Source organism: Homo sapiens, chromosome 10, assembly GCF_000001405.40.
Source record: "Homo sapiens chromosome 10, GRCh38.p14 Primary Assembly".
In the NCBI taxonomy this organism is placed as follows: domain Eukaryota; kingdom Metazoa; phylum Chordata; class Mammalia; order Primates; family Hominidae; genus Homo; species Homo sapiens.
In genome coordinates, this window is record NC_000010.11 from 86,579,335 (window position 1) to 86,593,592 (window position 14,258).

Genomic DNA, 14,258 nt, shown 5'->3' on the forward strand with positions numbered 1-14,258 from the left:
AATTTTTTGAATTTTTGCAATGAGACCGTGGCGATGACCTTAAGAAGTAAGATATAAACAAGTCCCACATGCTTGTTTATAATGGAACACTAGGCATAAATAATCAGGTAAGGAGACCTATGTCATTTATTTATTTATTTTTAAAGACAGGGTCTCCCTCTGTTGCCCAAGCTGGTCTCAAACTCCTGGCCTTAAGCAATCCTCCCTCCTCAGCCTCCTGAGTAGCTTGAATTACAGGCATGAGCCACCATGCCCAGCTCCTGCATAATTTAGAACAGTTGTCTTACTGAAGTCTTCACCCATCTCTGGGTCTATTCCCTCTTGGTGAACTTGGTCCTGTACTTCAATAGCTTTCTCACAGTCATCTATCAATATTATGCCTTCAGTTTCCACCAGAAGACTTCATTTTTTGCTCCATAAGTTATTGGTAATCAAGTTTTATATCCCTCATCTTATTTGAAATATCGGTTGAATTCACCATTTTATATGTCTTTCAAAATATTAACTTACTTTTTCTTTTTGGGGGCTTAATTATTTTTTTCTGGTGGAGCTGTATCTATCCATTAGAAAAACATGACCTATTAGCATAAAAGTGAAGTCGAAAGCTTGTTTTGAGCTTAAAAGCTGAGCTATTCATTGAGTGCTCCACTGTCAACTGAGATGTAGGAGTATTTCCCGAACTGGTTGCACAGCCACGGGACCCTTAGGCAGAGAGCCCTGCTCCTGAACCCACAGAGTCTAAGGCCACAACTGGCATTGCCTCCCCGCCAGCACCCATGCTGGGCAGATGCTTGCCCAGTCTCTTTTTGTTGTCTTGGAGCAGGGGTCAGTAAACAACAGCCTGTGGGCCAAATCTGGCCTGCTGCCTTTTTGCAAATAAAGTATTATTGGAACACAGTCACATCCATTCTTTTACATATAATTTATGACTGCTTTCATGCCACAGTGGCAGAGCTGGGCAATTGTAATAGAGATCAAAAGGCCTGCGAAGCCTAAAATATTTAGTATCTGGCCCTTTACAAAAAAAGTTTGCCAAGTCCTGTTGTGGAGAACTGGAACTGTGAAGGAAGCTTGGTAGTTTCCTCTTTCTAGGCTGTTCCAAAGCCCTAACCTGGCATGAAGGGGCCAGCTGGGGTGTGGTCATGGCCCTTCTGGCTCTTTCATCCTGGCTGATTCCCATTTCCTACTTGCTAACAAAGAACAGTGTCTTAGTTTGAGTAGCCCCAGGAGCTGACTCTGAGACAAGGATTTAAGTGAAACCAAGTGATTTTAGAAGGGATCCCTTGATACCTCAGTAAGGGAAAGGGGAAATGAGACAGGGAAGGAAGTCAACGAAGAGTTTGTCATGAAGCAAGTTACCACTGTGGGCAGCTGGAGCTCTGTTCCCCTATGGAGCCCTGGAAGCCAGTGTGAAACACTGCTTCAGTGCTATTGCACCTGAAGAGAGAGGAAGCTGGGATATTTATAAACCAGCTCCTGCCAGTGATTAAGTAAAGGGATGCTGCCAGGAGGCATTAATTGTCTGTCACTCTTGGCCTATGTTTTTGTTTTGTTTTTTTTTTTTTAGTTGTTGTTGTTGTTGTTTTGCTTTTTTGAGGCAGAGTCTTGCTGTCACCCAGGCTTGAGTGCAATGGTGCGATCTTGGCTCACTGCAACCTCCAACTCCCAGGTTCAAGTGATTCTCCTGCCTCAGCCTCCCGAGTAGCTGGGATTACAGGTGTGCACCACCACGCCTGGCTAATTTTTTGTATTTTTAGTGGAGACAGGGTTTCACCATGTTGACCAGGCTGGGCTTGAACTCCTGACCTCAGGTGATCTGCCCACCTCAGCCTCCCAAAGTGCTGGGATTATAAGCATGAGCCACCATGCCCAGCCACTTCTGGCCTGTTTTGAAGAAGAGAGAATGCTCTCAGGCAATTCGATGCAAGTTCTGGCATTTGGAAGTCAAGCCAGCAAGCAATGAAATGGTAAAGGTTAAGAGGGTGCAGGCAGGATACCAACAGCATCTGCTACAAGAAAATACAGATACCAAAGTGGCTGTGCCCAAAGATCCTCAGGGTGGAGAGTATGATTTCCAGAAAAAGCAAAACAAAACAAAAGCAAAAATCCTCTGGAAACATCTAGTTGAAGAGGTCTGAGTGTGCATTTCTGTCTGTGTGATCCTGGCCAACCTCCCTCTACTCACAGAGGTTCAAGGTGCCTATCTGTGAGGCTGAAATGATATGGCTGGCCTCCTCCCTGACCTGGGGAGGGGCACGTGACTCAAAAGACGTTCAAAGATATAGGCACTCAAGTGTTGGAATGTTTATTTTCTCCCCAAATGGGAGAAAATTCTATTATTTTTACTGGTAACAAGAAGTTATATTGTAAATGGGGTTTTGTTTGTTTTTAGACGGAGTCTTGCTCTGTTGCTGAGGCTGGAGTGCAGTGGCATGATCTCGGCTCACTGCAACCTCCACCTCCCAGATTCAAGCAATTCTCCTGCCTCACCCGCCTACCCCCAGTAGCTGGGACTACAGGTGTGCACCACCATGCCCAGCTAATTCTTGTATTTTTAGAAGAGACGGGGTTTCACCATGTTAGCCAGGCTGGTCTTGAACTCCTGACCTCAAGTGATCCGCCCACCTCGGCCTCCCAAAGTGTTGGGATTACAGGCATGAGGCACCACACCTGGCCATAAATGGTATTTTTAAAATCCAGAGCTGTAGAAAGTAGAAAATTCTAAATGCACCCCAAAGCTAGCCACGTCTAAATGTTTAATGTAACTTTCCAGATGTTCAGTATATATACAAATTTATATTTTTACATATAAACATAATAGTTTTGTTTTTTGGGGGGTGGGGGATGGAGTTTCACTCTTGTTGCCCAGGCTGGTGTGCAATGGCACGATCTCAGATCACTGCAACCTCCGCCTCCCAAATTCAAGCAATTCTCCTGCCTCAGCCTCCCACGTAGCTGGGATTACAGGCATGTGCCACCATGCCTGGCTAATTTTTTGTATTTTTAGTAGAGATAGGGTTTCACCATGTTGGCCAGGCTGGTCTCAAACTCCTGACCTCAGGTGATCCACCTGCCCCAGGCTTCCAAAGTGCTCGGATTACAGGTGTGAGCCATCTGGGCCATAGGGAACATAATAATTTTTTTTTTTTTTTTTTTGAGATGGAGTTTCACTCTTGTTGCCCAGGCTGGAGTGCAAATGCAATAGCATGACCTTGGCTCACTGCAACCTCTGCCTCCTGGGTTCAAGCAATTCTCCTGCCTCAGCCTCCCGAGTAGCTGGGACTACAGGTGTGTGCCACCACACCCGGCTGATTTTTTTGTTGTTGTTGTTGTTTTAATAGAGACAGGGTTTCTCCATGTTGGTCAGGCTGGTCTCGAACTCCCAACCTCAGATGATCCAACCACCTCAGCCTCCCAAAGTGCTGGGATTACAGGCATGAGCCACCACGCCATGCCACATAACAATTTTTAATCTGCTTTTTTTTTGTTATTTGACAATAGACTGAGGGCATATTGGCATACATTGAAGGATATGCATGTACCTTATACTTTTAATAACTACATATGACCGGGCGTGGTGGCTCATGCCTGTAATCCCAGCACTTTGGGAGGCCAAGGCGGTGGATCACCTGAGGTCGGGAGTTCGAGACCAGCCTGGCCAACATAGTGAAACCTCGTCTCTACAAAAAAAAACAAAAAACAAAAAAACCAGCCAGGTGTGGTGGCATGTGCCTGTGGTCCCAGCTACTTGGAAGGCTGAGGCAGGAGAATTGCTTGAACCCGGGAGGTGGAGGTTGCAGCTAGCCAAGATCGTGCCACTGCACTCCAGCCTGGGCGACAGAGTGAGACTCTGACTCAAAAAAAAAAAAAAAAAATATGATTTCATCGTATGATTGGTTACACCATAGTTTAACCAGTCTACTGTTGATGAACTTTTATGATTTTTCAATTAGCCTATATAATAAATAATAATACAAGGAACATTCTGGCATATTTATTTTTGGTTAGTTGTGCAGATGTTTCTACAGGGTAAATTTCAAGATGTAGAATTGCTTGATTAAAGAGTATGCACATTCAAGAATTTTGAAACTACCGTCAATTGAAAGATCGTATAAAAGTACTTGTCCAGTCACAGAAGGTGAGGGCCAGTTTCACCTCACTAACAGTGGGCATTCTTAGTCTTTGTGAATTGTATTTTTCACATCTTTTGCTCATTTTTCCATTGGAGTACTAATTTTTTATTTAGTAAAAAAATTAGAAAAAAATTAGAAAAATTATATAGAAAAGAAAAGAAAAAAGAAGTAGTTGGGGCAAAGGCAGGGGACAGAAAGGGCTTTATCTTTATCTCCCTTAATCCCCATCAGCTCCCCTCTGGCCATCCTCCTTCCCTCCTCTCATCAGTATTCAAATACATAATTACATAAAATTTCTGTTGTTTAGCAGTAAAATGTGTAAATAAAAGTGTCTTTGGAAAGCTCCAGTTTGTGCACGATTTCAATGGAAAGGTTGTGCGTGCTATTTAAATATAGGTGGGAGGAAAGCCCCTCAGGCCTCCTCTGGAGTGGCGGTCGGCTGGAGGGGAGCAATCCCTCTAAAAGGTAACCTGGATCCCCAGCCATGGTGGGCAAGCCTAGCTCTGGGGTGGGACACTGGTGGAGGGAATGTGAGGAGTTTCCCCGTCTGTAGCAAACCCTCAGATCCATGAGACCCTGTGTGCCTTCCAAACACCCAATCACCTGTCACCAGCATCACTTGTAAATGACAAAAGGAGGTGCAGAGTATCTGCTTGAAATGCCACACCCAGCCCTGGCTTGCAGCCTCACCAGTGAGGACCTGGGAGGAGAAAAGAGGTGCACCCTACTGGTGATGGGTGTGCGAGCAACGGTCCGGCCAACCCTTTGCTCATCTCCTGGGCAAGCTTGAAGCCCCTAGTTGCAAACCTCAGTCAATCCATCTCCTTAGTTGGATTGACTTAGTTACAGGATGAAACTTCCTTGTTCTGGGAGATAGATAAGAGCTGTGTTCCAGAGAAGGAGTGCAGTTGGCCTGGGAGCAGAGGAGCAGCCCTGGGAGCAGAGGAGCAGCCCTGGGGCACGGGGAAGGGAGGAGAGGATCCTGTGTTCCTAGGAAGGATGTGTCTATTACAGGGTGATATATTGTGCTTTGTTTTGAGAAGAAGATTTTAGTTTTACGGTGCGGATGTGGGTTTCAACACCATAATGGGTTAACTTCTGCACAGAAAATTTGAAAACTAGAGGCTTTGCTCCATCTTCAAAAATTTAATGAAAATGTATCTACTAGGTATTAAATCACTTCCCTGCTGCAAAGCTCAGCCCATCAGATTTTACAGAAGCTGTGGAGGATGAATTGTGTTCCAAGGACAGAGATGTATTCTGGCTTTCCACTGGGCCCAGCCACAACCTGAAGCCGGCAGAGGAGAGTCCTTCTCTCCCAGGTGTCCCCCACACCTGCAGGACACAGGGTGTGCCTTCAGGTCAGTCAAAAGAGGTCCTTTAAACTTTTTCATTTCTCAATATATTTGTTTAGACAGAAGACCCTTTTTACAGATGTAGTCACTGAGCCCTGAGGGCTGCCGTACCCAGGCCAAGGTCATGTGGACTTGAGGCCAGAAGGCACAGCAAGAGGACAGGAGGCCAGTTGTCTTTCTTTGGCACTGGAAGACTTCCCAGTGTTCTGGTTGTCCTAACACCAGTGTCTCTCCTCCATGTCCCTTAGCTAAGTGCTTTAATGGAGACAGAGCAACCCAGGATAGCCACACCAAAGGCCCTGGCCTCAGAGGCTCAGCCTGCTGCTGGCTGGGGAAGGTGGCTGACAGAGGCTTCCAGCCCCCAGCTCCCTACAGGTCGCTGTCCTATGGACTGGGCCAAACCTCCCTGGGCACACCCCACCCCTACCTCCCACCCAAACCAAGTGCGCAGTGCCCTGAGAGCCTGCACTGTGAGAGACAGCCTGAACTAGAATGGCCTGCTGAGCACTCTAACATCAAGACTCAATTGCTGCCTCCTCCCCGGGCCCCTCAGCGGGAACCGGTTGTTCTTGTGCTTCTATTGGAGCAACTAATTACATCTATTATTGGAACAATTAATTTGTTGTCCATGTGACTGTTCCACTGTGGGCTCCTGGAAGGCAGGACCTATTTCATGTACCTCTTTGTAACCCTAGATGGAAAGCAACTTGCCCAGCACAGGAGGGCCCAAGTGACGCTTTTCCCGTGCCACCCCTTCTCTGGGCAGTTTCCTTTAGGCGTGGTCCCCCTCCTGAGGCACCACAGTGCCACCCAGTGGCAGAATTGCAGTACTGAGCTCTCCGGGGAGGGCTCTTCTGCCCCACACCCTGCTGGGGGCTACTTACAGCAGGGGTTGAAGGCGAGTAAGGGGTCACCGTCCTGGCAGGGCCCTCCTGCATGCCACAACTAAGGTCCAAATGGGGTTGAAATGGCAGAGAAACACAGCCAGTGCCTTTGTGGGCTCCATGTATTGCGGTATCTGCTTGAGGCTCATGCGGTTTCTCTCCCTGTCCTTTTTTTTTGTAGAGACAGAGGTATCCCTATGTTGCCCAGGCTGGTCTTGAACTCCTGGGCTCAAGCAATCCTCTCACCTCGGACTCCCAAAGTTCTGGGATTACAGGCATGAGCCACCCCGCCCAGTCCTAGTTTGTATTATTATTCCTTAGAGAACAACACTGCTGGAGGCAAGGGGCATGTCTGATCCATTTTATCCTCACAGGCTGGTCTGTGGCAAAAACTTAAAAGTACTGCATCTATGCAATGCATAGGAACAGCCAGCCTTTGATTGGGTCTTAGCAGAGGGAGTCAGGGTGAAGCACATAGGGTCTGGCATGAGAAGACCTCCATCCCAGTCCTGCCTGACACTTTCTCACTGTGTGGCCGTGGGCATGTCCCACCCTTTTCTGGGCCTCAGTTTCCCCATTAGTAAGTCAAAGGAGTTGCACTAGACTGTTACAAGGCTGCTCTGATCCTCCTGGGACCTCAGGACTCCTGATCTCAGAGGATGGCCTAGTTTTTCTTCTCTGAACCATTCCTACCCTCAAGCCTTTTCCTCGGATTGGCAAGACTTAGTTACAGGATGAAACTTCCTTGTTCTGGGAGATAGATAAGAGCTGTGTTCCAGAGAAGGAGTGCAGTTGGCCTGGGAGCAGAGGAGCAGCCCTGGGGCATGGGGAAGGGAGGAGAGGATCCTGTGTTCCTAGGAAGGATGTGTCTATTACAGGGTGATGCCAGGGAGCAGAGATGCCTCAGGCCTGGATTCAGATGGAGAACAGAAAGGGGGCCCCAGCTGTGCCAAAAGGGGATAGGGCCACCACTACACACTAGAGGAGATGGACAGTGGGCGGGGAGAGTGGCAGGGACACAAAGTGAGCTTTCAGCATTTGCATCCTGTGTCCAGCCAACAAATGTGTGGCATTGCTCCCAATAGCGAGGGAAGTGACTTCAAAGATGAGTAAATGGAGTGATTCTTCACCTGGGGAGGAGGGCGGCCCAGCTCTCCGGGAGGAATGCCAGAATATCAAATGGGGCTGGGAGGCTTTTAAAGATAAAAAGAAACATTCAATAAATCTAGGATTTTAATAAAAATAACAACCAAATACAAAGCTCAGCCAGTTCTCTCAGAGATGCACAAAAGCTGGAGTGAGAGAGTGTTGCAGTAGGAGCCTTGGTTTAAATCTCGAGAAGAGGCTGGGGACGATGGCTCATGTCTGTAATCCCAGCACTTTGGGAGGTCAAGGCGGGAGGATCACCTGAGGTCAGGAGTTTGAGACCAGCTTGCCCAACATGGCAAAACCCCGTCTCTACTAAAAATACAAAAAATTAGCCGGGCTTGATGATGGGCGCCTGTAATCCCAGCTACTTTGGAGGCTGAGGCCGGAGAATCACCTGAACCTGGGAGGCAGAGGTTGCAGTGAGCCGAGATCGCACCACGGCACTCCAGCCTGGGTGACAAGAGGGAAACTCTGTCTCAAAAATAAATAAATAACTAAAAATAGGCCGGGCGCTGTGGCTCTTGCCTGTAATCCCAGCACTTCGGGAAGCCGAGGCAGGCATATCACCTGAGGTCAGGAGTTCGAGACCAGCCTGACCAACGTGGTGAAACCCTGTCTCTACTAAAAATACAAAAATTAGCCGGCCGTGATGGCACACGCCTGTAATCCCAGCTACTCAGGAGGCTGAGGCAGAATAATCGCTTGAACCTGGGAGGCAGAGGTTGCAGTGAGCCGAGATATTGCCATTGCACTGCAGCCTGGGCAACAAAGCAAGACTCTGTCTCAAAAAAAAAAAAAAAAAAAGAGTTGTCACTAGGGCCCTGGACCTCCTTGCCAGCTATTGTGGGCCCTGTTTGTGGAGATCATGGTGGGGGCAGGCCATGTCTGCAGATGGGCAGGCTGTGATTACACCTTAGGGTCCAAACTCCCATCACTCTCTGAAGTGGCCCTCTATAATGATGCTTGGGCTTTGTCTTAGACATTTTACTTCTGGCTGGGTGTGGTATCTCACACTTGTAAATCTCAAATGATTTGAGAGGCTGAGGTGGGAGGATTGCTTGAGGCCAGGAGTTGGCGACCAGCCTGGACAATATAGTGAAACCTGGTCTTTAAATGCATAAATAATAGAGGCCGAGCGCAGTGGCTCATGCCTGTAATCCCAGCACTTTGGGAGGCTGAGGCAGATGGATCACTTGAGGTCAGAAGTTCGAGACCAGCCTGGCCAACATGGTGAAACCCTGTCTCTACTAAAAATACTAAAATAAGCCAGGTATGGTGGTACACATCTGTAATCCCAGCTATTCGGGAGGCTGAGGCAGGAGAATCACTTGAACCTGGGAGACAGAGGCTGCAATGAGCCAAGATCGCACCACTACACACCAGCCTGGGCGACAGAGCAAGACCCTGTCTCAAAATAATAATTAATAATAATAATAATAATTCTAAGAATCCTAAAGAAATAGCACTGAATGTGCACCACAGTTTATTTATAAGGCTATTTATCACAGCATTCTTGGCAACACTGAGCAATTGGAAGTAACCTAAGCCATCAGCAATAGGACAGGACACTAGATCCATGGAACCATATCCTGGGCAGCCACTAAAATGGCGGTGACGGAGAATTGTGTGGGGAGTTTGAATGTGGTTGTGTAGAGTGACTAGTCACCTTTATTTGATTATTTGTACCCTTTCCAAATTTTCTACAATAAAAATAAATAATTGTTGTAAACAGGCAAATAAGTATTTTAAAGAATTTACCTTTGCTTAAGATCAACCAATCTAGAATCAAATGAAGCCGCATTAAAAAGCTTATTAGTAAGTCATTTGTGATTCAGATATAATGAATGCCTGTGAACATCCTAGGGGATCAACTTGTTTTCTACTGTCTCCTTTCATCCTCACCATACTCCTAAGTTTGGTATTATTATCCCCAGTGTACCAATGAGGTCCCGGGCTCAGTGGGTGGTGACTTGGCCAAGGTTACATGACAAGCTTAAGTGAAAGAGACACTAACTCTGGCCAAGGTGTTGAAGAAGACTTTGACTTCGGCCGAGCGCGGTGGCTCATGCCTGTAATTCCAGCACTTTGGGAGGCTGAGGCAGGTGGATCACGAGGTCAGGCGATAGAGACCATCCTGGCTAACACGGTGAAACCCTGTCTCTACTAAAAATACAAAAAAGTTAGCGGGGCATGGTGGCGGGGGCCTGAAGTCCCAGCTACTTGGGAGGTTGAGGCAGGAGAATGGCGTGACGTGGGAGGCAGAGCTTGCAGTGAGCTGAGATCGCACCACTGCACTCCAGCCCAGGTGACAGAGCGAGACTCTGTCTCAAAAAAAAAAAAAAAAAAAAAGACTTTGACCTGAAATTTGGAGCAGCGGAGATGTTTGTTTGTTAGAAGAGCTCGGGTGCATCAGGGACTATTCCAGGAGAACAAGAAGAACCTAGAGCATGATGCAAGCATATTCGGTAGGGCCTTTCCCACAATGTCCTGGGCAGTTTTGCTGGGGCATCCTAGGTGTGGCACCAAGAGTTGCCCATCAGGATGTGTTATTCTTGCAAATTTCTTTTTTTTTTTTTTTTTTGAGACAGGGTCTCACTCTGTCACCCAGACTAGAGTGCAGTGGAAAGATCTTGACTCACTGCAACCTCTGCCTCCCAGGTTCAAGCTATTCTCCTGCCTCAGCCTCCCGAGTAACTGGGATTATAGGCGCCCACCACCATGCCTGGCTGATTTTGTATTTGAGTAGAGACAGGGTTTGACCATGTTGGCCAGGTTGGTCTCAAACTTCTGACCTCAAGTGATCTGCCCTCTTCAGCCTCCCAAAGTGCTGGGATTACAGGTGTGAGCCACTGCGCCTGGCCATTCTTGCACATTCGAATATCATGAAGCATTTTCCTAGCTTGGAAGCAAGATAATCCATCACTATCTATCCTCTTTTTGGTCTACTCTTCCCCCATCACAGGCTATATTTATATATCTGTCTTAGCCCATTTGTGTTGCTATAAAGGAACACTGGGGCTGGGTAATTTATAAAGAAAAGAGGTTTCTTTGACTCACAGTTCTCAGGCTATACAAGAAGCATGGTGCTGGCATTTGCATCTGGTGAAGGCCTCGGACTGCTTCCATTCATGGGGGAATGTGTCACGAGAAAGGAACAAGAGAGGAGGAGGGGCCAGGCCCTCTTTAACAATCAGCTCTCACAGGGACTCATAGGGAAGACTCACTCACTCCCAAAAGAATGGCACCATGCCATTCATGAAAGATCTACCCCCATGACCCAAACACCTCCCATTAGGCCAGACCTCCAACACTGGGGATCAAATTTCAACATGAGATTTTAAGGGGGGGCAAATATCCAAACTATATCAATGTCTTAATGAGAGGTCAGCTTGATATAAAATAATGTAAATGTTAAAAACGTCTCTTTATGGCCAGGTGCGGTGGCTCACACCTGTAATCCCAGCATTTTGTGAGGCCGAGTTGGGTGGATCACCTGAGGTCAGGAGTTTGGGACCAGCCTGGCCAACATGGTGAAACCCCGTCTCTACTAAAAAAAAAAAGAAAAAATTAGCTGGGCGTGGTGGTGGGCTGTAATTTCAGCTACTTGGGAGGCTGAGGCAGGAGAATTGTTTGAACCCAGGAGGCGGAGGTTGCAGTGAGATCGAGATCATGCCACTGCACTCCAGCCCGGGCAACAAGAGCAAAACTCTGTCTCAAAAAAAAATGTCTATTTAAAGTTGCAAGAGGAGAGGCTTGACTTGGACAAAGTAGAAGGAGACAGGTGGCTCTATAACTAAAAACAGAGTGACTACCCTTGGGACCCATCTCAATTTTTTTTCCCTAGACAGTCTTCAGACTTCAGTAAAATTAAGTGTGTGAGAGAAGACACTGGGAATATTGGCTTAGCTGAGAGAAGTGAACACCCTGCAAAATGAAAACGGGTGGGACTCCTTCCCAGCAAAAGCCCAGTCACTCCAGAGGGCCAGCAAGGGAAAAGCCAAGTGTTGCCTGGAAACCAGGTGATATGATTTGGCTGTGTCCCCACCGACATCTCATCTTGAATTGTAGCTCCCATAATCCCCACATGTCATGGGAGGGATTGGGTGGGAAGTAATTGAATCATGGGGGCAGGTTTTTCCTCTGCTGTTCTCATGAAAGTGAATACATTTCATGAGATCTGATGGTTTTATAAAGGGCCGTTCCCCTGCACATGCTCTCTTGCCTGCTGCCATGTAAGACATGCCTTTGTGCCTCCTTAGCCTTCCACCATGATTGTGAGGCCTCCCCAGCCATGTGGAACTGTGAGTCCATTAAACTCTTTCCTTTATAAATTACCCAGTCTCAGGTATGTCTTTACTAGCAATGTGAGAACAGACTAATACACCAGAGTTCACAGAAATAATGCAAAGTAGCATTTCTGATGCCTTCATTTAAATTTTCAAAAATATTTATAAATTATCCAAATGACATAATCACATTGTCAAAAAGCTGAAAAATAGAGAAAAGCAAAATCACACAATCTAATGCTTAAAGCAACCACTGTTGACACTGTTGTGTCTCATCACTCATATACACCCACCCATGCTTCCCCATTGTGGTAGCCACCTTTGAATCCAAGCACTGCCACTTGTGGGCTGTGTGACCTTGGACAAGTCACTTCTTATCTCACTTCTGGTCACTGTCTATGAGACTGTGTACCCTTTCCTCCATGGGAAGCTGTGGGCTGGAAAACCGCTTAGGGAATGCCCCGGGAGGTGGTGAGGGGCTGGGGGCTGGAGGGAGACCTGCATGCAGATCATGCAGTTGCCACGTCCTAGCAGTTGGTCTTGTTTAGGATTTCTCCGCCCTGGCACTCCTCCCAGGTGGGGCTGGATAATGCTTTATTGCGGGGGCTGTCCTGTGCTTTACAGTGTGCTCAGCAGTCTCTCCACTCTCTACTGCATAGCACGTCCCTTCCCCAGTTTTTTGTTTGTTTGTTTGCTTGCTTTTTAAGACAACAGTCTTGCCCTGTTGCCTAGGCTGGAGTGCAGTGGCGCGATCTCAGCTCACTGCAGCTTTTGCCTCCTGGTTTCAAGCAATTCTTCTGTCTCAGCCTCCCAAGTAGCTGGGATTACAGGCACATGCCACCACATCTAGCTAATTTTTATATTTTTAGTAGAGACAGGGTTTCACGATGTTGGCCAGGCTAACCTCGAACTCCTGACCTCCTGATCTGCCTGCCTCGGCCTCCCAAAGTGCTGGGATTACAGGCATGAGCCACCACACCCAGCCGACGCTGACCGTTTTCAGGAGGAGAGGCATGCTCTCACTGAAGACAGTCATGACAGAGCTGGAGACCTTACCGGCCCTTCCTGAGAGGGCTCTTCTGGGGACGCAGAGACTGTGGGTTCTGGCAGGAGGAATTTAAGCACATGCCCCTTCACAGAGAGTGGGAGCAGGGAAGGGACCCTGTGAGATGCTCATGGACCTCTGAAGGGGACTTTAAGTCTGAGTGGCACCACCCTGTTCCTCAGATCCCCTTTTCTGTACACTCTCCAGTCCCTGAGAACCTCCCCTGACCTCAAGCTGAGCAGGAAGGTGGGAGCATGCCCTGCAGTCAGTCAATGCCCACTCGGAGCTGGGTTGGGAGACTGCTCCCTGCGCTCCTACCCAGCACCTCTAGGTGTCCACAGTGTCCAGCGCTAGGCCCCTGGGTTGAAGCACAAGTCCCTTGATAACCTTTGCTTCTGCACAGGTAAATGCCCTTTTTCCTGATGTCAGCCTTACGGCACTGGGGATTTTCCAAATGAATCTTTCTTGAGACAAGGAGCAGGGAGTGGCCCTTCCCTGAGTCACTGCTCTGGTGGACTCTGGGTTGGGCAGGCTTAGTGGGCCCACTGCTGCTCTGGTGAGCCCAGCACACCTACTGCCCTCACCTGCCCCACCTCTACCAGCTAGCCCACCCTCTCTGCTGGCCTTTCCCTCAGTACCTGAGCCCAGGCTTGACAACACCACCAGACCATACGCAGCAGATGTCATCTTCCCAGTGGTATCTCTACCTCCAATCTCTTTCCAAAAGTGCCATGACCGGAGGGAATGTCTGAATTTTAGTCATGGACAGAAACCAAAGGTCAAAATCAGACAGTATACCTCTGGCAGGAAGCAGGGAAGTGGTGAGAATTCCAGAAGCTCAATGGTGAACTTGGATCTAAAGGGACAGGAGAGGGCGTTGGATAATGAAGGCACATGAAGTTGGGGGGTACCATGCAGGACAGAGGCTGTGCTCAGGTGAAGGCAGTGGGGCCTGTTTATGGGGTGTGATGTCAGGCCCTTGGGACAGGCCTGCTGGGCCCTGAGGGGCAGCCCAGGGCCCTGCTCCTGTGCACACTGATAGCTCAGCATCCACACCCTGGATAGAGACCTCCAGCTAGGACAATGTCAGGACTTGGTGGCCCAGCAGGCTTCTGGAGCAATGCTGGCCAAGTCCTTCCCTAAACAGCATTTTTCCATGAGTGACCCTGGGCTCCCCTGCCTATCACGTCTCCTTCAGAGAACCACAGTGCACATGCACAGACTAAAGGCTCTTTGAAATCCTGCTGTGTGGCTGGGCGTGGTGGCACACTTCTGCAATCCCAATACTTTGGGAGGCTGAGGCAGGAAGATTGTTTGAGCTCAGGAGTTGTAGACCAGCCTGGGCAATATAGCAAGACCCTATCTCTACAAAACATTTTTTTTAAATGTAGCTGCTCATGGTGGTA

At 48.1% G+C, this 14,258-nt stretch overlaps 2 annotated features.

Moving 5' to 3' along the window:
- Window positions 5,396–5,897: an enhancer, noted in NCBI's record as "H3K4me1 hESC enhancer chr10:88344487-88344988 (GRCh37/hg19 assembly coordinates)". NCBI's record gives its function as "activates a minimal SCP1, AML or CMV promoter by ChIP-STARR-seq in primed H9 embryonic stem cells {active_cell/tissue: H9 hESC(primed)}" and the evidence as "EXISTENCE:reporter gene assay evidence [ECO:0000049][PMID:30033119]".
- Window positions 6,139–6,198: an enhancer, noted in NCBI's record as "active region_3692". NCBI's record gives its function as "activates an Ori minimal core promoter by ATAC-STARR-seq in GM12878 lymphoblastoid cells {active_cell/tissue: GM12878}" and the evidence as "EXISTENCE:reporter gene assay evidence [ECO:0000049][PMID:35858748]".